This window comes from Homo sapiens, chromosome 4, assembly GCF_000001405.40.
Source record: "Homo sapiens chromosome 4, GRCh38.p14 Primary Assembly".
Taxonomy (NCBI): domain Eukaryota; kingdom Metazoa; phylum Chordata; class Mammalia; order Primates; family Hominidae; genus Homo; species Homo sapiens.
In genome coordinates this window covers 24,866,392-24,890,785 of record NC_000004.12, presented here as the reverse complement: position 1 = coordinate 24,890,785, position 24,394 = coordinate 24,866,392, and the positions used below count along the sequence as shown (strand labels likewise).

Here is a 24,394-nt window from a genome sequence, read left to right as displayed (position 1 = left end):
GATGGAACACCTCCTTGCTTTAGAGTATGTGCACCTGACTCAAGTATCAGAGAGCTGGGAGCCAGGGACTGTTCTCAGACATGCTCCATCTTGAGTTGAAGCTTCATCTTGAACACACTGGCCCTCTTATGGGACTGTTCATCCCAGAAGGGGAATCATATTTTTCAGAAGGCAAGATCTGCCAACACATTTAGGAATGGAGATTGTTTTCTGTCTTCAAATGGGACAGACTCAGTTCTTTTGATTACTGTGATAATAAGATTGGTGTCTTTAGAGTTTATTGAGTGCTTTTTCTCACGTAAGTAATTCTATAGAATCCTTCCAACTCTCCTTTGGGTGAATGGGGTGCTGTGGCAGAAAGGGCATGGGACAGGCTTGGGTTCAAATCCCACCTTTGCCTCTTACAAGCTTCATAATTTTTTTTTCCAAAAAACTCTTAGAGCCTTAGTTTCTTCGCCTGTAAAGGGGGGTAATGATGTTTACATTTTGGGGTTGTGATGAGGATTAGTGATTAATGTATGTGAAATGCTGAATCATCTGTTAGGACTGAGTAGGCTTCAAAATGCTGCTGGCTGTTCATATCATTATAGAAAAGAAAACTGAAGCACAGAGTGGGGGAGTGGCTTCTTGTGGTCCCTGTGGTAGGAGATGGTGGCAAACCCCACATCATGTCACTCTAAAGCCCAGGTGCCGCATTGCTTCTATTAATGATGCTTTCCTGTCTGTATCTCCTGAGTTTCCCTTTTGTTAAAGAACGGTCAAGGAATCAATTCTAGTTCTGCAAATGCCACCCTGTAACCCTCTCAATACCTCATCTATAAAGTGGAAGCACGATTACAGGTCCCCTTTGCCTCCCAGGGTTCGGGAACAGGTCTAAGAAGTTAAGAGCTGATAATATGCAAAGGTGCAGTGGGCCTCATTAGTAATAGGGGTGTTAGGGTATTTTTTAGGATTTCTACTGAGACAGATAAAATGAACCACAGCAGTTTTACAGCTTTTAAAGTCAGTCTGACCAAAATATTGTACATGCTTTGCTGACTTCTTACTGCTACACAGCCCACAAGGAAAGCCCTCTGCAACCGAATTGAATTATTATTCTATAATGAAGTAACCAGTGAATCTATCGTTACATTCCATATGTGACAGTTATATGTCATAATGTGTAATTGCAATATGTGAGGGTTGGTGATGCAAGCTGCCTGTCACCTGTATCCAGCAGACCTCAGGCCCCTGGCAACCTGGATGGCAAAGAGAGGGTTTCAGATGCATGCGTAATTTTAGTGCTTCATCCTGAACATATACACAATCTCTGAAACAAACCAGAACTGCAAGGCGTACCGGCAGCATCTCGGCCTGAGACAAGGTTGGATCAGCCTAGCACTGGGGACAGAGCAAATTCACTCTAGGTAAGCCATGATTTTTAGAAATAGATGCTATCTTCAACAAGTGAGAGGTGGTTTCCTAGCCCGTTTATGGCCAATGAGAAAGAAAGCCAATCTTTTTTCCATGTGTTTCCTCCTCATCTTTATAGGCTTGCAAAGGACAGGGGCATAGTTAGTGGAGAATGCAGAGACTGAGATGGTGAGAGGGAGGAAAGGAGAAATAAGAGAAGTGAAAGGATTGAAATAGATATTCAGGCAAACCTTCGTTATTCAAAACTTCGGTTAGCCAAGACTGTCAGTGAATTTCACATACCCCCCAGCTACTGTAGTTCACATTATAAACTCTTCCCATTACCTGAAATCTCACTTAAATTTCAGCACATCCCCTGGGGCATTCAAATAATCAAAGTTTGCCTGTCAAAAGTAATACCGGAGAGGGGGAAAACGGCATGGTGAGTCTGAGAAAGATAGATCATAAAAAAAAAAAAGTCATCTTAGAGAATGGCATTAGAATCATTAAGCTACCAATTTGAAATTGCTGAAATGTTATCTAAAAATTACAGAGGTGAATACAGATTTAGAAAAGGCTGTGGAAATGCCCAGGGAGTCTTGCAATTGGAGGATGGACTATAGGCGTGGGCAGGAAAGGCTCACACCCAAGGTGCGAGGGTGTTAATGTTGCAGGGCTTAGGGATTGCCGCAGGCTGGAGGACTTCAGCAAGATGAATATCAGCATGTGGCCAGCCCCACAGGCATTGTACTCCATAGATAACCAAACCCATGTCTGGAGAGGTTAAATATACATGTATCTCCAAGTGGAGGTTCTGAATGTCTATCTAGGGTTGGTGAATCTGCAGGACTTTTAAGAATGAAGGTGCTGAAAGGAGTGTATACCCCTGTGATGGCAGGGAAGTGGTCCTTTTAAGCAATAAAAATGAGGTCAACATACAAATGTCATTTTGATGATTCTATAGGAACTGTCCTGCATCCTCTCCTTACACACTGAGTTTGTGTAACTGGATTTTTTTTTTCTGCAAAGCATGATGCTAAATGAGATTTAGACATTTAGGCCTAATAATAAATTGATGGCTATCTGACTAAAATATGTAAATCTATCTATCTATATATCTATGTATATATTCAGCTTGGTGGGAACTGAAACTTATTTCTTAAATATGTATTCAGCACACACTGTGGGCCAGGAGCTGTGCCTGGCTCTGGAGATGCAAAGATGAATAAGATGGGCCCTGGCTGCAAAGAGGCCTTAGTCAGACAAGTGGGCAGGTGGGCAGGTGCTGCGATACAGGGTGTGTGAGTGCTACTCTAAGTGTACCCACAGTGCCACGTGGCTCTCACTCTGCCTGGGGGAGTGGCAGAAGCTTCCCAGACAGGGACTCAGGAGCAGGGTGCAGGACAGTGTAGAAAAAGAGAGAGGTGAAGAAGCTTGAGTGTGGGGGCAGCAGTAGGTGGGCTGAACAGGAACATGGAGGGCGGGAGTAGAAGAGCTGATGATGAAGTTGGAGAGGTGGGTTGCAGCCAGATGCTGAAAGGCTCCTGTTTGCAAATCTCCTTAACATCAGAGATTTTTTTTTTTTTAAAGAAGAGTGGCAAGCCCTAATTTACATTCTCCAAAGGGACTGGTACCTGGACTAGACAAGTAGGGAAACCAGAAGGCTGCTGTGATGGTCCCTGCCAGAGATCACAGGGCAGAGCAAAACAGAGGTTCCAGGCATGGAGGGGTGGCTTGTTGGAGGCGGGGAAGGGAGGTTGATTGTTGAATGCTGTTCACCTGGAGCCATTTGTTGGGTGGGAAGTGAGGTATTGCTGGATGGGGGATGGAGAAGAGGGGAAGGCAAGGGCAGTTATGAGTGAGTAGGTGGTGATCAGGGGAGGAGGTACCTCTACAGAAAGAATGAGTCTGCAGCTGAGAAGTTTCTAAATTATTCCTGAACATGAACTCTTTGGCCATGTCTGTTTATCATCTGCTGAGAACTCTGTCTGGATTAGCAGGCATGCCCTTGCGGTGGCTAATGAGAGCTAGACTGATCCCATTAGTAAAAATCGCGAAGGACCAGGAGTCTTTGGCAAGAAGTGACTGCACCCCATCCCCGCCCCCCACCCCACCCCCACTACACCCCAGCTACCTTCATCTCTCAGCAGCAGCTATCTGGCTATAAAGCCACCCAAATAGTAATGTAGTATGTCAGATAGCCATTTAATTATTATGATCTTTTGATCTTTGTTGTAGCAATTATGATTTGCTTTAGGGCAGATAAAAGCCCCTCAATGGCCAATGGTTTGGGCTTTTAGGATGATGAGCACATGATGAGCACAAACTACCCTCATGGTGTTTGTGTGTGGGCATGAATTAACATCGACAAATGAGTTGTAAGCTCTGCTTTAAAAATGTAATTGAAATGCAATTGCAGAGAAATATATTTTTGAGAGAATAATAAAAATATTTTATGATATCTAGTATTCACACCCAAAACTAGGCATATTTTACTGAGCTTATTCCATTCGTGTGTCACTGATTACCTAGTGTATTTGGTGTTAGTATACACCAGCTGTCTTCCTTTCTTCAGCTGGTAGGTGTGTACCAAGGGCAGCCACGTGAGCCTCGCCCTGAGTGTTCCTGGAGCTCCTATGCACTCCTGTGTTTCTGTGTATGATTAATAGAGACTTAGAGGTTAAAGTAAAAGGATTATTATTGAATGATCACCATTTATTTTTCAATCTTTATTCAAAAAACACAAGAAGGGGAGCTTTAGCAAGGTTGAGAAATAAACTCAGTAGCATGGATCCTCCCCAGGTTGGTGCAATGCACATTTGTTGTTTTCTCACTTCCCAGCATTCATTTCTTTTTCTCAATAGCACTTCCAAGTGGAGGGTATTACCACTGGATACAGTCTGTGTACATTAATAACTGTGGACAGATGCCCAGGCAAAGACTCCTCATGATCTGCTTTAGGCTGTTGGAGACTCCTTGAACAGAGAGGCAAAGAGACTGAAATGTAACAGAGTCCAGACTGAAATGTCACAGAGTCCAGTTCATCCCATTTGTCAGCCTCTGACAACCTTTCCTGCAACAAGACCTGGTGGTTGGTGGTTCCTGGTTCCTATCTCCATTGCCCAGATTTGCCTTGCTGCCCACCTGTGTCTGAGTCTAGCTCTGCATTCTCTTGCCAAGTCTATAAGGGCCAGTATCCTTCCAATATATTCCTTTGTTAGAATGTCAGTTACTATTGCTTACACCAAAGAATCCTAATTGATATACCCAGGTAACAGTCTGGCTCTGCCACTTACTACCTTTGTGATGAAGGATAAATTTACCTCTTTGAGGTTCTATGTCCTTCTCTGTAAAATGGGACTAATCTTACAACCTATTTCATAGTGGCCATATAGATTAAATATGATGTTTCAAGTAGAACATTTAGCAGTTTGGAAAATAGTAATGCTCACTAGATAGTGGCTGCTACTGTTACTGTTATAATCAAATGAAGGTCTTCTTATTATTCCTAAGAATGCATGGCACATAGTAGATATTCAAAAAAATACTAATTTCATTTCTCTGTCCCCTCTTCTGAAAACAAACTGAAACCTTCCTGAGCTGGGAAGGAGAGAGAATGTCAGCAGTCCCTACTCTACACATGAACTTGACCAGCAGAATTTTGTCTTGACTGAAGAGCAAAAGTGGAGGCATTAGGAGGATAAAGTGTTTGTCTCTTGGCCCCTCCTAGTGACCAGAAAGTGGGATATTTCCCTGTTTTTCCTTGCTCAACTTGGCCCTTTGGAGTGTGTTTGGGCAGCCATGTGACCCACTCGCCCACTGATGTGATTCCGGCACCAGCCGTCACGGCGGAGGCTGAAACCACGCATGAGTCTGGTTGCCTGGGTAGCACCCTGTCTAACAATACTGCATTAGACACCGTGATCACAGACTGCGTTAAGAAACAGCAAAGCCAGTGTGTTCTCTGTAGGCCTGACAGCTCAGATCAAACTGCAGGATCCAAAGGTGTGTCTGCAGAGTGGATCCTGAACCACAATCACTTTCTCTTCTCTTCTCAAGCTTGGCAGCAAATTCCACCCACACTGTACTGTCCAATATAATTTACACCACAGGATGTCAGGATGAAAGTTTCTTTCTAAGATGATTCTTAATGACACTCCCCCATTCAAAGCCCCTCGGAGCTCCTGACTGCTGGAAGAATACAATCTGAACTCCTCAGCACCACATCCGGGCCCTTTCTGACCTGGCCACCCGTCTGTCTTTCTGGCTTTATCTGGGCACAGCTTGTACTCCCACCCTCCACCACAGCCAGCCCAGGGCGTCGCTCACTGTTCTGAACACACATCTTCTGGCCTCTCACCTTTGTGCTTTGCTATGGCTGTTTCCCAGCCAGGAGTAACATTTTCCCTGTCACTGCCACTTGTCACAGCTCCGTCTATCCCCAACCAAGATGTATCCCTCTACCCCTCCCTCCCGATCGATTTCAAATACCACATTGTCCTCCAACTCCTTGAGCACCTTCTTTGCTAAGCTGTGTCACTCTCTCCTCCATGATAACAATAGTAGTAATGATCATTAACATGCATACAACACACTGTTTTAAATGTTTTACATATACTAACTCTTAATTCTCATACCAACCCTCCGAAGATGCTGTAAATATCTTCATTTAAAAATGGAGAAACTGAGGCACAGAGAGGCTAGGTAATTGATCATGTCGCTAGTGAGTGACAAAGCCAAGATTTGAATTCAGGCATTTTCAGCTCCTCCTGCCGTGTTCCCAACCATTAGTCTAAACTGCTTTTCTTTCTTTTCTGGGAGTTTTGTGTCTCTTTTAAAGTGTTTAGTGTACTGTAGTTAGCCACTATTAGTGAATGATAATCAGCTACTTATTACCATCTATTAGCTATACCCATGCATTGCTTAATGACAGGGATATGTCCTGAGAAATGCTTTGTTATGCAATTTCATCATTGTGCGACTGTACTAGAGTGTACTGACACAAACCTACATGGTATAGTCCGCTGCATCCCGAGGCTACATGGTATGGCTTGTTACTTCTGGGCTACAAACCTGTACAGCATATGCCTGTACTGAATACTCTAGGCAATTGTAACACAGTGGTAAATGTTTGTGTATTTAAACATATCTAAATATAGAAAAGGTGCAGTGAAAATATGGCCACATAATCTTACGGGACCACCGTTGTACATGCCGTTTGTTGTTGACACTGTCAATCTATAGGTGGCCTCTTAGACCTAAGCATTCCCTGTGGAATTCAACTTAGGGCCCCAGGAGAGCTGCCTGTCTCCCAAACAGGACCTGGAAATGAGTTACAATGTATTCTCTGAGCTATGCGGTTACCTCTAGGAGTGTCTTGTTGAAAATACGGTTTTGCTCAACACAGGTAATGTGTTGAACCACTTATAACTAATTTGGTGCCAATGTAGAATAGTAAAAAGAACCTGGAATGTGTAATGGAAAGTTCTGGTTTGAGCTGACAGTTGTTAGTTACGTGTCTCTAGGAAAGACACTAACCTCTCTGAATCTCAGCTATTTTGCCCATAAAATGGGGAAAGCGGTTCTTGTCCCACCTGTCAGAGTGTTGACTGTCAAATGGGAACGTGTCTGCAAAAGTGTTCTGGATGCTTTAAATGCTGTAAAAATCATGTGTTCAATCTTTTTTAAGTTTATAAAGCCTTTAACATAGCACATTTCCTTTCAGGCTCACAATAACCTCAATGTAGGGGGCAGCAGGCGGTGGGCAGAGCAGGGATTAAATCCTCAGAGCTGTGACTCAATTCCAGAGAACAAGTGAATGATTTCCAAGACATAATGGTCTCTATTCAGATGCCTTTTACACCTACTCACTCTCAAAATTCACATCAAACATAATCTCTCAAGCTTTCCTCCCTGCCCCACCCCCACCCACCTGTGCCTCTCTTCGTTCCTTTCACCAAGTATTTGTTGAATGAATGGGTAAGTGTCCAGAGTGGCTTATTAGAGAACAGTAGTTTTCAGACTTTTAAAATGGCGGCTTGTAAGAAGTATGTGCAAATAGGCATATGTGTGTGTTTATTCCTATAGACTTTTCAAATAGAAAAGCTTCAGGAAACAATAATTACCCTTACTGCAGGGGATACACCCTGATATTTTCTGCTCTGTTCTGTACCTTTAAAAAAAAAAAAAAGAAAAGAAAACAAGGGTTGCAACTAATATATCATGACCCACAATTTGGAAAACACTGTCATGGAATATGCTGGAAGTCAGGAGCCTTGTTCTTTGCAACTGGGCAGGTCACTTGGGTTATCCGTGAGGTTTATCCCAGCTCCAGCATTCAGTGCTGACTCTAAAGGATAAGGAAGTTAGGAGGCTGGGGGGACAGGCACGTAAGCATATGGAAGCTTGAAGATTTACTGCATTTAATGCATTTTTAGTTTTTCTTGGCCTATGTGAGGAAGTAGAAATCTAATGAATGCTTAGCTATTTGGGCAATTACTGTTGGAGAAAGGTTTGATTTTAGTCACACATTCATCATCGAGACTGTAGAGATTTGTAAGGGTGAGTTTCCAATAAAAAATTCCATATCTAAAGTCCTTGGAGCCCATATGTGTTTCTCATGCAGGAGTTTTGGGAATCTGAAATGAAATGCAGTACACACACTGTATATTATATGTCATCCCTGGCAGAGTCTCAGGCAGCAGCCAGGGATCAAACACACTGATTTTTCTTCAGCAAATACATGAATATTCACACTCCATGGATAAAGGCCATAGACACCCTCTCATCAGCTTAGGTCACTGACGAGATAGGAACACATTTTCAGTTTTCAGAACCTTCAGGATTCCAGATAGCAGGAAATAACGTTTTGTTATCCAGGTATCATGCCTTTCTTTCCTTTTCAAAATTCAACGATATCATTTATCCCATGAGGGTCCCAATACTTAGCTCAGTGTCCAGTACATAGAAGGCACCCAGAAAATATTTGACTGAATAATGAGGCCAACTATAGCTTACAGAAAACTCCTGTTGCGATCAAACTGCTTTTGAGAAAAGAACCTTCTAGTTCCTTTCTGAGGCCCTTTAGTTTGTCCCATTTCTTAGAAGTGAATGGAAACCTTACTGTTTCCACTTGGCTCCCTCATAAAGAGGAGAGAGTAGTGAGGCTTGTGGATTTTTAAACTTTTTTTTTCCATCTTCCTTCAGGCTTTGCATCTGAGGAAATAAGTGGCAGACCCACTAGTTTTAGAAAAAGTTGTTTGAATCAATAAAACCTTTATTACTATTTGTTCTAGGTCCAGAAAAGTAGCCAAATTCAAATTGTCTCTTTTTTTGTTTCCTTGTACTAGGAATACCAACTAGATGTGGTAACCAACTCCATGAATATTCTGATTTTTGGGGGTGGGGCACAGAATGTTTAGTTTTTCAGGAGCTGGGGTTCCACAGGCTTGGCTCTGTAATGAGCTGGGTTCCAATTCTGGCTTCGCAATCCCTTGGCACATTATGCAAACACTTTCATTTAAGCCTCACTTCCTCATTTATAAAATGCAGATGATAGCACAGTAACTTCATTGCATTGTCCTGAGGATTAAAGGAGATTATACAGGTAAAGCATGTGTTACAAAACCTTGCTTTTTGTCATCAATAGCACTACTAATAGAGATCACATGAACCCTCGTCCTCAGTGTGGTGACTCAGTGGACACACAGCCCAGGGGCAAGTATAACTTTTCTCCCCCCCAGACAGTCCCATTCTTTGATGCAGACCATATGAGTCAGGATGGGTTGAGTTATGCTTCAGTAACAAACCCTCAAATCTCAGTACTTTGACACACCAATAATTTTTTTCTGGATCACACAAAGTTCTCTGTGGACCCGAATGGCTCTCCAGGCAGTTGTCTGCTGTGCTTGCCCCTCCAAGCTCTGTTATCCTGTGGCAACCCTATAGCAACCTGTGCTTCCACCATTGTTGCTGCAGGGAAGGAGAAAGCCCAGCAATTCTCACCTCCCCTCTCAAGTGCCTTCCTTCTGAAGCAACTCACATCCCTTCCAATCCCATTTTATCGGGCAAAGCAGGGTCCATGTTTCTGCTTTACCCAAAAGCAATGGGGATGGACCGTCCTGCCACATGCCTGGAAGGAAAGGAGAACTAGAAATATTAGCAAGAGCCATGAATATTGACCCAATAGACGTTTGGCCTTTTCTCACTCTATGATAAATTGCTGCTACAAACGCAGCTTCAGTCCCAGCACCCTGTCCCACCAAGTGACTGTCCAGAGATTCTGGAAATACTCTGGCCACAGACAGTCTTTGGAAATCATCGAGCCAGCTCTGTCTTAGACAAGGCAGAGAAAGCAAGTTTTGGGTGCTCAAAGTGAGTCGTACCTTCTGGACTGGAGCCCTTACCCCGTGCTTTCTCCTGCACTTTTTACATCCAGTGATATTCGACAGTGGTGTTGAAATCGTGGGTTCCTCAAGGTGGTGAGTGCCCTGGGAACCCCCTCATCTTCCAGGTGTGGAAACGAGTCCTGGGGAGTGTGCGTTCTTTTGGTCCTTTTGTATTATGGCTTTCCCAAGGTACCTGCAGTTCATGATGAGCCCATTGCTGGATCTGCTATCTATAGTTACTGATCTTCCTCTGGGAGCCTAAATAGCCTGAGCACAGTGACTTAGCTTGTCTGGTTTTCCATTCTAATTTGGGTTCCTTCTAATGCCCCAGCCTTATATTTGCTGGTTATTCAAAGCTGCCCACTAAGAAGGATCTTCATGACCTTTTTCTCTCTAGTTTTTTGTTGTTTGTTTCCAATCACAGGGATAAAAAATGGGACATTTTAACAGCTGTCATTACAGGGAATACACTTTTACTTTTTTAGAATGAGGCCAAGAAATTTCACCTCATTCTCCAACACTCCCTTCTCCCCACTTCCTAGAGTTTTCTATTGTTGTTTTGATGAGACATGCATATACAGTCATGTGTCACTTAATGACGGGGTTGCTTTCTGAGAAGTGTGCCGCTAGGCGATTTCGTCATTGTGTGAACATCATAGAGTGTACTTACACAAACCTAGATGGCACAGCGTACTGCATGCCTAGCGTATGTGGTACAGCCTGTTGCTCCTAGGCTACAAATGTATGCAGCACGTTACTGTACTGAATACAAGGCAATTGTAACACAATGATACATATTTGTGTATCTAAACGTATCTAAACATAGAAAAGGTACCACCACCTTTCTATGGTAGGACCACTATCATATATGCAGTCTGCCATTGACTAAAGTGTTGTTATGTACTACATGACTGTATAAGATTTTTGGCTAGAGGCAGTAAAATGTAGTCCATGTTTGTACTTGTTTAGAATCCCAAAAGCTACAAAAGATGGCACAGACACTCACCGGAATGGCTCTGAGACTGTTCCTTGCTTCTGAACTTGTGGGCTATCTGTGGCCTCTCAGTCCCTCCAGACCATTTTAGTTGGTTCTAACTTTTGAGACTGTGCAGCTTGAGGCTTCCAGAGCTTGAGTTTTTAAAGTATGGGCTGGATAAGAATCATCTGGACCATGGGCTAAGAATGCAGATTCCTGAGCCAGGCACCAGAGATTCTGATTTAGTGGGCCTAGGCTGGAGCCCAGGAGTCTGCATTTTAACAAGCATCCCAGGTGATAGCAGTGTTTTCTTTTTCTTTTCTTTTTCTTTCTTTTTTTTTTTTTTGAGATGGAGTCTTATGCTGTCACCCAGGCTGCAGTGCAGTGGCATGATCTTGGCTCACTGCAACCTCCGCCTCCCGAGTTCAAGCGATTATCCTGCCTCAGCCTCCCAAGTAGCTGGGATTACAGGCGCCTGCCACCATGCCCAGCTAATTTTTTTTTTTTTTTTTTGAGACAAGAGTTTCGCTCTTTTTGCCCAGCTGGTGTGCAATGGTGCGATCTCGGCTCACTGCAGCCTCTGCCTCCCGGGTTCAAGTGATTCTCCTGCCTCAGCTTCCTCAGTAGCTGGGACTACAGGCACATGCCACCATGCCTGGCTAATTTTGTATTTTTAGTAGAGAGGGGGTTTTGCCATCTTGTCCAGGCTAGTCTTGAACTCCTGAGACCTCAGGTGTTCTGCCCACCTCGGCCTCCCAAAGTGCTGGGATTACAGGCATGAGCCACCGTGCCTGGCAGAGAGCAGTGTTTTCTAGGGTTCCTTATAGATGCCAAAGACTTGTGCCAGGGTATGGCAGAACTACAGGGAAGATGTCTCACCTTCAGCCAGAGCTCTGCTTCGAGCTACTTTACAAATGAGGCTTCAGCCTAAGGTTTGTCCTGCTGATAAAAATAAATAACATGGCGTAAAATTATTGGGACCTACAGAGCTTCTGCTCTTCAAATCCCGGGCCAGTGGGTCTCAGCAGAGGCCTCTGTGCCTGTTTTCTACCAGGTATCTCAGACCCAGAAGCAAGGGAGGCGTTTTACTGCCCTTCACAGCTTTCATGGCCCTATTTGGACCGTGCCTTGTGAGTGAAATGGCTTTTCTCTTGGACCCTAACAGAGAGCTGTTCAAGGTCAAGGAACTTGAATTTCCACTTTGACAGTCAGCAGCGGCCCTTACCTGTTACCCTTCAATAGGCGGGATGTTCCCGCGGAGCTTACCTACTGCAGCTTCCAATGTCTTCATGCATGAGGATTTTTGTCCCCTAAGTCGGAAGGCACGAGTGTCTTTGGGGCCTCAGGTTTGAATCTGATAAATTGAAGGGATAAAGGTGACTGTCTTTGGGTCACCGATACTCACAGTGCTGACAACCAAGGGTGCTGATTACGGGAAAAGAACTGGAGGAACAAGGGCAGATGTGTTAAATTGTGTGTAAATGGTATTTTTCCTGTGAAATCTCAATACGCCCCTGAGGACACTGCAGTTTGGGTTTCTGAGCCACTCTCCTCTGATATTTACTCATTGGGGATTTTACTCTTGAGAAATCACTGTGGCAACAGAACCATTTTGCCTCCATGAAGACGATGTCAACGTCTCAAAATCCAGGACATTTTAAGGCAGGATTCCAACCTCATTACTGCCAGGAATAAAATTCATCCAAGGTGGAAGTGTCCTTTTTTAGAACTCAAATCCGTCTCAGAATGCCTTTTCTTTCCCCTTTGTTTTTGAAGCTAAGCAATTACTTTCTTTTTTTTTTTTTTTTTTTTTTAGGAAAAAAAATTGTGCAAATGCACAAAACTCTCTTTTTCTCCCTTTCATTTATTTGAAATTGAACTTAACAAAGTCAGTTCCTAGCAAGCACTATATATGAGTAATGCTTTTTGTCCATAAAAGAGCATTGACTCCAGTGGAATGGGAGTGCTGATTCTCGCTCTGCTTTGTGTGAGCGTCCATAATGACAAAGTACTCATGTCAGAGTGTATAATGAAACTATAAATTGTTTTCATGAATGCTCTGAATTTGGTCTTTTACAGGGCAAATTCCAAAGGTATTTAGTGCCACATTTCACATATGTGAATAATACTAGACGGTGCAATATATCCAGTAAAAAGTGAAGAGTCCTGTTCGGGCCCATGCTGGCCAGTATGGTGGGTCAGACTTAGGTGAGGGTGGTTCGTGGTGCAGGAGAGTGAGCAGAGGGAAGGATGAAGAAATCTCATAACTCTGAGGCAAGAATTCCAACCAGGTGTACTCAACTTGTTTGGGAGAATTCAAAATGTGGCTAAAATACTTAGCTCCTAAGATTGGTCTCTGGATGGGGAGTGCCTGCATTTGAATCATAGGAAAAGTTAAACGCATCAGGGCCATGTTAGTGGATGAATTTGCAAGTGAGAAAATAGCTGCTGGGTTTGGTGGGCAGGTGCAATCTATTGTGGTAATTTATGGTTCAATTATTTTTAATAACTTTTTGGGCATTTTTTTTTTACAATAAAAACTACATGGGCCAGGCATGGTGGCTCACACCTGTAATCCCACTACTTTGTAAGGCCAAGGTGGGCAGATCACCTGAGGTCAGGAATTCAAGACCAGCCTGGCCAACAGAGCCTGACCATCTCTACTAAAAATACAAAAATTAGCCGGGCATGGTGGTACGCGTCTGTATTCCCAGCTACTTGGGAAGCTAAGGTGAAAGAATTACTTGAACCCGGGAGGTGGAGGTTGCAGTAAGCCGAGATCACATCACTGCACTCCAGCCTGGATGACAGAGCAAGACTCCGTCTCAAAAAACAAACAAACAAACAAACAAACAGACAAAAAACCATATAGGTTTACTCTGGAAACTTAGAAAACACAGAAAAGCATCAAGAAAAATTTTGAAACCTGGGTAAATAATTTTACTACCAAGAGTTTATCGTTAGTAACATTTTAATAAAATTTTTATTAAATATCTTAATAAAATTTTACATAATCTTATCTGGATATATAAATCCTTTTTAAACAAAATTGGAGTCCAGCTGTCTACCTGTTTACCCATTTATGCAACTTTTTAAAACGTTCTGCTTTTTAACTTACTTGTCCAAGGTTTAGGTTCTGTCATGAGGGCACTGCATGTTAGCGCTGTAGAAGCCTGAAGTACATGTCATTTGCTGAAAAATGTCTCTCTCGGCACATGAGCTCTAAAAATGAGAATGGCAAAAATTCCCCACAGGGTGTGTGAAGTACGGTGTGTGTTTAATGGAGGCCCATGGATGTTTTTGACCCATTGCCTGGATTTGTTTGCTTTGCAGTACCTGGTGTGTAAGAGGAAGCTGGAGAGTAAGAAGGAAGCCCTGCTGATCCTCTCCAAGGAGCTGGACACCTGTCAACAGGAAAGGGACCAGTACAAACTCATGGCCAATCAGCTCCGGGAGCGCCACCAGTCACTGAAGAAGAAGTACCGAGAGCTGATTGTAAGTGTTAGGCTGCCCTGTTCAGCGACTTTCCTGTTCCCTGAATTAAGATATAAAGAGATTTTCACATGCTGTTTCTTTAGAAATGGTTAAATGCAAACAGTTCAAAGTGGAAAAATTTAGAAGTAAAAGTCACCACCTCTATTTCCTCAACAACCCAGTCCCACTCACAAGTTAATCTCTCTCTCTCTCTCTGTGTGTGTGTGTGTGTGTGTGTGTGTGTGTGTGTGTGTGTGTGTGTGTACGTGTGTATGTATATGCTTCTTGCTCTGGCATCTGTGAACATATTCATGTGTGTTTGCAGTAGGCTCCTGGCTTATCCAAGGGAGACAAGTTTCAAGATCCCCAGTGGATGCCTGAAACCACAGATAGTAGGAAACCCTACATATACTGTTGTTTTTTTGATCTCATAGCCAAACCAGCTCCTAAGTGACTAGCGAGTGCACCACGTAGGCATCGTGGATACCCTGGATGAAGGGGTGATTCACATCCCAGGTGGGATGGAGGGGAATGGTGCAAGATTTCATCACACGACTCAGAACAGCATGCAATTCAAAATTTATAAATTATTTATTGTTGAAATTTTCTATTTAACATGTTTGGACCATGGTTGATCTCAGGTACCTGAAACTGAGGACAGGTGGGGACTACTGTATGTGTGACTGTTTACTTGTTAATTTAATTATATAGAGTTCTTTAAAAAGAGGATTCATAAGTCTACAGTAATACAGAGGCCACTAGCTACAGGTGGCTACTTAGTTTTAAATTAATTAGAATTAAGTAAAATAGGAGACTCTATTGCTCAGTCTCAATGTCACATTTCATGGGCTCATGTGACTGATGGCTACTGTATTGGACAGTGTATACAGACAGCATTGCCATCCTTGCAGAGAGTTACATTAAGCCAAATGCAGTGACACACCTGTAATCCCAATTACTTTGAGAGGTTGAGATGAGAGGATTGCTTGAGCCCAGGAGTTTGAGACCAAGCTGAGCAACATAGAGAGAACCCTTCTCAAAAAAAAAAAAAAATTCATGGAGAAATAAAATAAATTCCAAATTTATTTTTAAAAATAATAAAACATGCTGTTTTCCCTCAGCACTTTATTTTGGACATCTTTCTAGGCCTACAGATCTAACTCATCCAGATTTGAATCATCCAGATTTCTAGGCATACAGATTTAACTCAGTCTTTTTTTTTTTTTTGAGACGGATTCTCGCTCTGTGGCCCAGGCTGGAGTGCAGTGGCGGGATCTTGGCTCACTGCAAGCTCCGCCTCCCAGGTTCATGCCCTTCTCCTGCCTCAGCCTCCCGAGTAGCTGGGACTACAGGCGCCTGCCACCATGCTCGGCTAATTTTTTGTATTTTTAGTAGAGACGGGGTTTCACCTTAGTAGAGATGGGGTTTCACCTTGTTAGCCAGGATGGTCTCAATCTCCTGACCTCGTGATCTGCCCGCCTCGCCCTCCCAAGGTGCTGGGATTACAGGCATGAGCCACCGTGCCCAGCCTTTAACTCAGTCTTTTAAACAGTTGCATGGTAATACACGGTGTGGACATATCCATAATTTTTGTAACCTTTCTCGTATCCTGCGCTTTTTTATTTTCTCTAGGTTTTTATATGGCAAAACGTTTAAGATGCAAATGATACTGAAATGGAGAATGCCAACTGCATAATGCTAGTTTTCATTCTTGCTGCTTTTGAGGCGATCTCTTTTTTAAGTGGGACACTATTACTGACATTTAACTATCTGTGCTGGCATTATTAAACTGCCCTGGAGTAGAAATAGAATAGAATAGATTCCTCAGGTTAAAATCGTGTTGACTTATATGTGGACAGCATCAGATATTAGAGTGCTCATTTAATGAGCATTCACTTATTCACCTGAGATATTTGTATTCCCTGATGTGGCACAAAAGGGAGAGGAATCGGATCCTTTTTTTGTGTGTGTGTGTGAGACAGAGTCTCACTCTGTTGCCCAGGCTGGAGTGCAGTGGTGCAATCTCTGCTCGCTGCAACCTCTGCCTCCTGGGTACAAGCAATTCTCCTGCCTCAGCCTCCCTAGTAGCTGGGATTACAGGCACCCGCCGCCACATCTGGCTAATTTTTGTATTTTTTTAGTAAAGACATGTTTCAGCATGTTGGCCCAGCTGGTCTTGAACTCCTGGCCTCAAGTGACCTGCCCACCTTGGCCTCCCAAAGTGCTGAGATTACAGGCCTGAGCCACCACGCCTGGCCAGAATCCTTTTAAGGCAAAAAAACAAAAAAAAACAAAACAAAAAAAAAAAAAAACAAATCTAATAGGACTAGAAGTTCTCAATGTCTTCTTAACTTTGAGCAAATACTGTCCCTCCCAACACTGATTGTTCTGCCCACAGAGAAAACTCTCTCTTTCTCTGTCTCTCTCTTTCTCTCTCTTTTCCTCTCTCTCTATATGTGTATGTGTGTCCCCATCACTGTTCCTTTGGTTCTAACTATTTAAAAGAGGAACTCAAACCAAATGAAATATTATTTCAGTTTAGGCTGTGATCAAAAAGAATTTTGACAAATCCAGTTTTTGTGTTCAAACAATTTTAGGAAATATATAGATTTGGTCCTAATGGGAACTGATTCCCTAGAGGTTTTTCCAAAATAACTCTGGTTCAGTTTGTAGTTATTTTTTTAAAGTATATTTGAGCTTGCTTCAGCACATTACTGGCTGCAGGGTGGGGAGGGTGGGGAGAGTCTACATTTAGGTTCATAATTTAGTTCAACTTCTTGTTTCTAAGTACATCTATTTTTCTAAAAGAGTAAAATGCAGCATTTGTTTCTTTGTAGGATGGAGATCCATCACTTCCTCCTGAAAAAAGGAAACAGGTAAGACTTATTTCTGATCTCAGATTTTTTTATTGATACCTAGCAGCAATTGGGAGGATCAGGGAATCTCAAAATGTAGAGAACTTCCTTTAATTTCCTGGAATTCTTTCTGTTATTGGGAGGAGTAGGTAGAGATTCCAACTGCAAAGAGAAATTCGGAGTGGAGTGAAGGAAACCCAGTGAAGTCTGGTTGGGGGAGGTACACCAGTTGACTGCATTCCCTTTCATGTTGGGAATCCTGATGGGAGATAGAGTTGAGGGCACATGGTTACAGGACTTGAGCTACCTACTGTTCAGTGGGCACGTGCTGTGGGCATATAACATTTGTTGGGTGCATACTGTTCTGTGGGTGCATACTGTTCAGTGGATATATACTGTTTAGTGGGTGCATACCATTCAGTGGACACATACCACTTGGTAGGTGCATATCATTCTGTGGCTGTATACTCTCCTATGGGTACATACCATTTGGTGGGTGCATACTGTTCTGTGGGTGCATACCATTCTGTGGGTGCATACTGTTCTGTGGGTACATACCATTCTGTGGATGCATACCATTCAGTGGGTGCATACCATTTGTTGGGTGCATACCATTCTGTGGGTGCCTGCTGTTCTGTGGGTGCACACCATTTGGTGGGTGCATACCATTTGGTGGGTGCATACCACTTGGTGGGTGCATACTGTTCAGTGGGTGCATACCATTCTGCGGGTGCATACCATTCAGTGGGTCATACTGTTCTATGGGTGCATACTGTTCAGTGGTTACATACTGTTCAGTGGGTGCATACCATTCAATGGACACATACCACTTGGTAGGTGCCTATCATTCTGTGGCTGTATAGTCTTCTATGGGTGCATACCATTTGGTGAGTGCATACTGTTCTGTGGGTGCATACCATTCTGTGGGTGCATACCATTCTGTGGGTGCCTGCTGTTCTGTGGGTGCTTACCATTTGGCGGGTGCATGCTGTTTTGTGGGTACATACCATTTAGTGGGTGCATACTGTTCAGTGGGTTCATACCATTCTGTGGGTGCATACCATTCAGTGGGTCATACTGTTTTCTGGGTGCATACTGTTCAGTGGGTACATACCATTCTGCAGGTGCATACCATTCAGTGGGTGCATGTCATTCTATGGGTGCATGCTCTTCTGTGGGTGCATACCATTTGGTGGGTGCATACCATTCTGTGGGTGCATAATATTCAGGGGGTGATAGATACCATTTGGCGGGTAAATGCCATTCCGTGGGTACATAATGTTTAGTGGGTGTATACCATTTGGTAGGTACATAATATTTGGTGGCTGCATGCCATTCTGTGGGTGCATACTGTTCTGTTTAGGTTCTGCCACTTCACACTCTTAAAAGCCATCTTCCATTAAAATTCACATGCCTTTACTTTCTTTTCTCCTGCACGGTGGCCAACACTGTTTATTGACCAAACCAATGGTTTTACATGCACATTTTTATCATCAAATCCTTATATATATGTGGATCTGCTTCTTAACTCTCTGTTCTGTTCCTTTGAGCTCCCTGAAAAGTCCTGTGGCTCTACCACATTATTCTTATTGTTTTGCTTTATAATACTTCTAATATCTTTTTGGGCTAACCTTCTTCACTTTGCTCTTCCTTTTCAGAGGTTTCTTATATGTTACTTTTCTCAGATAAAACCTAGAAACATTTCATCAAGTTCTTCTCCGATCCTTCTCACACAAATCCTATTGGTATTTTGATAGGGGTTTTGTTAAATTTATAGATTAACTTGGTGTCTCTCTCTCTCATAGATAGATATGTTCTGTGGCTTTATAATAAAAAAAATTTACATTGACTAAGGAGAATCTGATGAATTCCAGTAAGTCTGTTAAGCTGCATTCTTACAGCTCTAAAAATACAAGTTCAATGACATAAACATTGGCTTTGTAGCATTTAAAATGGCATTAAGTTTCTGTCCCTTTAGGATTGAGAGTGTGGTGGTGGGAGCTTGGGCTCTGCAGCCTTTCTGCCTGGGTTGGAACCACTGAGTCACTCTCTCTTATACATGTATTTATGAGAGAGAGAGAGAGAGAATGAGAGAGCAAGCTATTTTCATATATAACTTTGTTAGAACTTTCCTTAACTTTATAGTTGTTCTGTACTGACATGCCCTAAATGACGGCTTTTTATGGACTTGAAGGGAGTCCAGATGATGGTGATGTTAATGCTGTGTGTTTCCCGTTATAGGGAAGCCTCTGTGCCTGAGCAGGACTTTGAAATGGGTGGATGCAGATAGCAACCCAGGAATGATTTGCTCTCTTCCCAGCTGTCGTGGCTAACCCAGCATCCTGCTTGTGCTCATTGATGCTGTACCAGCACCACATGTAAATTCCTTGATTCCATGGGGTCATTGCCTTGAGACTTTTTTATGCTGGTGAACAGTTTGCCCAACACACACACATTTATCCTCAGAGACCAACTCAGTCCTATGGTTACCCATTCATTCATTCATTCATTCAGCACGCTTACTTATACGCTCCCTTCCTTTCTTACAGGATTATTTTATAATGCTCCAGGTTTGATCTAAAGTCACATTTTTCTGTGATGCTCATTGACTTTTTTTCTAAACAAAATGTAGAAATTTATCTTTTTTTTTTTTTTTTTTGAGGGAGTCTCACTCTGTCCCTCAGGCTGGAGTGCGGTGGCGCTATCTCAGCTCACTGCAAGCTGTGCCTCCTGGGTTCATGACATTCTCCTGCCTTAGCCCCCCGAGTTGCTGGGACTACAGGCACCCGCCACCATGCCCGGCTAATTTTTTGTATTTTTAGTAGAGATGGGGTTTCACCGTGTTAGCCAGGATGGGGAAATTTATCTTTAATGTTTAAAAATTGGAGTTCTTAATCTTGAATTGCCAGGTGTTTTGGGTTTTGAGGTTTTGGAGGTTATAAGCAGCACCTTTGCTGCTATTTTAGAGTTAGTTAGTATTCATGAAGGAGTTTTATAGTTTTAGGGGAATTCACATTCCACAACTTTATAATAAAAAATTTATATCAACTGAAGAGAATCTGATCAATCCCAGTAAGTCTGTTAAGCTGCATTCTTACAGCTCTAAAAATATAAGTTCAACGTCCTAAACATTGGCTTTGTAGCTTTTCATACGGCATTAAGTTTCTGTCCCTTTAGGACTGAGTGTAGTGGTGGAAGCTTGGGCTCTGCAGCCTCCCTGCCTGGGTTGGAACCAGTGATTGCTGCACGAGATAGGATGCTTCAGGGTGCAAGTGACAAATTCTAAACTGCTTGAACAATAAACGAATTAATTACCTTACATAGCGAGAAGTTCAGAGGTAATGTGGGCTTTAAGTACTTGATGGTTTATGGCTTCATGAAGTTGTCATGTACTCATTCTCTCCACTGTGCCAAATTTAGCAAGTAAAAATACAGGGCACCCGGTACATTTGAATTTCAGATAGGAATGTAGAAAATTGTATTGTTTTTTAAGTACAAAAGTGTGTGCCATGTGATTTTGGGGATAGGCTTATATTAAATTATTATTCATTATTAATCTAAAATTCAAATGTAACTGGACATTCTGTAGTTTACCTGACAACTCTACCACTTTGCCGACTTAAGCACATCAGCTTCCTCTTACATTTAGTATCAGCTTCCTTCTGTGTCTGGTTCCCCTCAAGAGAAGCAGAAAATGCAGCCATGGAAAATAAGTCCTCCTTTCCAGTCTGGCTGGGCCAGTGTAGGACTTGCTCCCATTCCTGGTCTAATAGCACGCACCAGGGGGCTGCTATACACTCATCGACTTTGATTCATCACTTGGGATGGAAGAGCTGTTAGGAGTTAGCAGTGATGTCCACTAAACTAATTGTGAGGCTTTGGGAAGGCTCCTTTGAGTGTCTTGAGTCTCAATGTTCTCATCCATAAAATGGGGATAAATATGTACCCACTGCATAGTGTAGCTGTCAGGATCAAATGAGACAATGCAAGTAGAGGCCTCAGTATGGTGCCTGGCGTAAGGTGAGCATCCATCAATGTGCAGTGCCTGGCACAAGGTGAGCATCCATCAATGTTTCTCGCCTGCTGCTCCTCCTTGTCATCTCTTTTTTAAACAATTGTATGTTAGCAGGTTGATTCTGTCCAGCACAGCTCTTGGCTGTCAACAGGACACACTGCCCTTGTTGGGACCCTTTTGGTTGCAGTTGCCACTCAAAGTAGCTTGCTCCAAAGACAGGTTCCAGCTCATAGATTATGGGAAGAGTTGGTTGAGCAGCCCTCGTGGGAGACAGAAGTGCAGCTGGGCCCCAGGAATAGCCACAGCAGGGCCCAGGAGCCCAGGCCTCTCCTCAGCTCTCATCTCCTTTTCTGCGCCTGCTTCCTCCTCAGAAGCGGAAGCGTGACTGCCAACTGCAGCTGGGATGGAGCCCCTACACCTTTGGCCGCTGGAAGAAGGCTGCTCCCAAGTTCCAGGCTCAGGCCAATGGCCTGTTTCAGGGTCAGATGGGCATGATCAGGCATGCCACTGATGAAAGGCAGCTCCTCCCACCACCATGTAGAGGGGTGCGGGGTAGACAGTGTCATAGCCATCTGCCTTACATGCCTTCTTAAAACAGTCGCAGGAGGACAGATCATAGCAATCGCAGCCGGTGTCATTGAGTGCTCACTCTTACCAAGTGCCGGCTGCTGTGCTGGACATTTTGCTGTAGATGACCTCATTTAACTCTCACATAGCCGTGTGCGGTAGATACTATTCTTGTTATTGCCATCTGATAAAGGAGAAAATTAAAGCATATAGAGCTCAAGGAAACTACCCAAGGAAGTAACATAACGAACTGGTGATGGAGCCAGAGCTTTGACCCTCTGCAGTCCACTCAGAGCTCACGCTGGTAACTACCATGACTCAGGGAGCACCCATGGGTGTGTCCGTAAGTATCTGGACAGGAGGGGCACGGGGTGAAAAAAGGCAGACCCAGATCCCTGAGCTTGGAACTTGCATTGTAGCAAAAGTGACCGTCCCTTCATCTTACCCAGGACCATTTCCATTGACACCTCTTGTCTTGGGATCATTTCTATTAGTGCCCCCTTTCACTCCCCAAGGTGTCTGGGTTTGGACCAATAATATAGTTATTGTACTAGAGATGCTACGAACAGACAACATACAAAGTAATTAAAATATATAGGTTGTTAAATGGTAATCAGTGCTAAGGAGAGAAACATATAGTCCAAAATTAGGGAGGGAATTCTGACTTATTAATGGGTAAACAAGTGGGGAAATAGCTCTAGGAGTTGGAAAAAAGAAGACTCTTGTCCCTTAAACATATTTTACATTTTTATTTACTGTTAGTTTATTTAAGCATGTGATTGGTTTTAGGGTAGGTGGTAAGGTGTCCTCTTCATAGTTCAGCATGGGGAGGAAAATGCAGCATTAAATTTTTTAGGGGCTGGTTGTCTTGAAACTTTCCGTTTAGCCAGAAGCAGAAAGCTTTGGTTTACATGGGCAAGTATGGAAAGGGAGAGGCACAATTACTTTCTAAACTGCGTCACCAGCAGGAAGGGGATCGAGGCACACACCCTGAGATGGGGTCTCCTGTGTTATGCTAAATATTTATACCAAAGGCAGAACAGCAGGGGAAGTATTTACCTCTCCAGCTGCAAAGCAAAGATACCTTGTATAAGCGGAAGGCACTGGAACAAGAACCAGCTGCCGAGTTAACAGGTGGAGTTAACAGATGTGACCAGAGGTCACGAGATGTATGTATAGGAAAAGGAGAAGACACCACAATGTGCGTATTATTGCCCACTGGCCTTGAAGCTGTGACTTTCGTTTCTTGACCCAGAAGGTTGAATTTCTGTGATCTGAGCTTACTGGGCTCTTCTCCTGTTTGTTTCAGAAGGAAAGATTGCAATGATCGCCCCTTGTTGGATTTTCTCCTTGATTCAGTTCCGTTTCTCTGGACCAGTGGTTCTTATTCTCTTGTGAATCAGTGATACCTTTGAGGATCTGTTGAAAGCCATGGGCCTTTGCTGTAGAACATGCCTGCAAAAAAATTTGCATTCAATTTCATGGAGTCACAGACCTACAGCCATTCTATAGATCCTTGGTGTTCCATGGACCACATTTAAGAGCCGCTGCTCTAAATGTATTGATGGTTCTTCTCAAGTATAGATAGAAAACAATACCACATTCTTAGTCTTTGAAACACTTTGTATTTTTCAGAGACCATGCATATATGCATGCCTGCATGTAATCTCCCAGCATTCTTCTGAGGTCACACTGGGAGGTATGTCTTTCATAAAGGCACAGGGCAGCATCACAGTTAGCAATAAATAAAAAGAACTTAGATTCTGGCATTTAATTGCATGGATTCAAGTTTAACCTTTCCACTTGCTGACTGGGCAAACTGTGTCACCTTTCAAGACTCAATTTCCTCCTGTTCATAGTGGACATGATATTGAGATGTGTTTGTAAAGCTCTTATGAGGCACTGATGTGGCGGTGTTTGTGATGCTCATTGTCTGTTAGTTGGAGAGTGCTCAATGAATACTGGATATTTTTAATTTTTCCTGTGACTTATCCAAGGACACATAGCAGGTTAATGGAGGAGGCTTAGATTCCAGACCCCTCTAGCTTGTAGTTCGGTGCTGTAGTTCAGGCTTTTTGTTCTATATTCGATTCTTAGACTGTTTGAGCTGGGAAAAACCGTAGTCAACATTCAGTCCAGCCCATTTTGGAAGTCTAAAGATTAAGTGTCTTGTTCAAAGCTCTCTGCTTAGGAGTGGTAGAGAACCAGAAATTGAGCTAGGAATTTTTACCTGCTAAGCCAGTCTTCTTTCCTGTAGCAATCAATATATATGCACGTGTGTGTGTGTGTGTGTGTGGGTGTGTGTGTGTGTATATTTTTTTTTTTTTTTTGCTTTTTGGGTCTTCGCGTTAAAGGACAGATGAGAACTTTTACATTTGTAGTTCTAGAAATGTAGTTGTTGAGGCTTTCTTTTGGAACTCAGAATCCTTTTTAAAACAACGAATTTCCGATGGCAAATCATCCGTTAAAGAAGCTGTGAAGAAATTGAGACAACAGTGATTGCACTAATAGCTTCTCGTGGGATATTGAAATGAAAATTTCTTCTTGTGACTTCAGGCAGAAGTGTACACAGAGCGCCCCTTTGCACTGCAGTGAGAGATCACCAAAAGATCTCCAATGACCCTTTAAATATTTTTCTTTTGCTAAACAAGCAGTTCCTGCAAAGCAGACAAAGGGGCAATTAAATTATCTCGGGTTAATTTTCTTATAAGATGGGATTCTTTGAGGT

The 24,394-nt window shown here is 43.0% G+C and overlaps 1 protein-coding gene across 8 annotated transcripts in view, besides 4 other annotated features; it reads left to right on the top strand.

The window, feature by feature from the left end:
• CCDC149 (coiled-coil domain containing 149) overlaps positions 1 to 24,394 on the top strand; it is a 176,691-nt gene that overhangs the window by 89,419 nt on the left and 62,878 nt on the right. For all 8 annotated transcript variants that reach the window (XM_011513908.3, NM_001130726.5, NM_001395273.1 and 5 more), the window contains 2 exons: positions 14,089 to 14,250; positions 17,067 to 17,105. In XM_011513908.3, the coding sequence (XP_011512210.1) occupies positions 14,191 to 14,250; positions 17,067 to 17,105 (99 nt within the window). In that variant the 5' untranslated portion in view covers positions 14,089 to 14,190. The remainder of the gene's footprint in view (positions 1 to 14,088; positions 14,251 to 17,066; positions 17,106 to 24,394) is intronic.
• Positions 21,005 to 22,140: an enhancer, noted in NCBI's record as "H3K27ac-H3K4me1 hESC enhancer chr4:24870836-24871403 (GRCh37/hg19 assembly coordinates)". NCBI's record gives its function as "activates a minimal SCP1, AML or CMV promoter by ChIP-STARR-seq in primed H9 embryonic stem cells {active_cell/tissue: H9 hESC(primed)}" and the evidence as "EXISTENCE:reporter gene assay evidence [ECO:0000049][PMID:30033119]".
• Positions 21,005 to 22,251: a biological region, named in NCBI's record as "MED14-independent group 3 enhancer GRCh37_chr4:24870157-24871356".
• Positions 21,052 to 22,251: an enhancer, noted in NCBI's record as "MED14-independent group 3 enhancer chr4:24870157-24871356 (GRCh37/hg19 assembly coordinates)". NCBI's record gives its function as "activates an origin of replication core promoter dependent on BRD2, BRD4, P300/CBP and CDK7 cofactors, and independent of MED14, by STARR-seq in HCT116 cells {active_cell/tissue: HCT116}" and the evidence as "EXISTENCE:reporter gene assay evidence [ECO:0000049][PMID:35650434]".
• Positions 21,573 to 22,141: an enhancer, noted in NCBI's record as "H3K27ac-H3K4me1 hESC enhancer chr4:24870267-24870835 (GRCh37/hg19 assembly coordinates)". NCBI's record gives its function as "activates a minimal SCP1, AML or CMV promoter by ChIP-STARR-seq in naive and primed H9 embryonic stem cells {active_cell/tissue: H9 hESC(naive and primed)}" and the evidence as "EXISTENCE:reporter gene assay evidence [ECO:0000049][PMID:30033119]".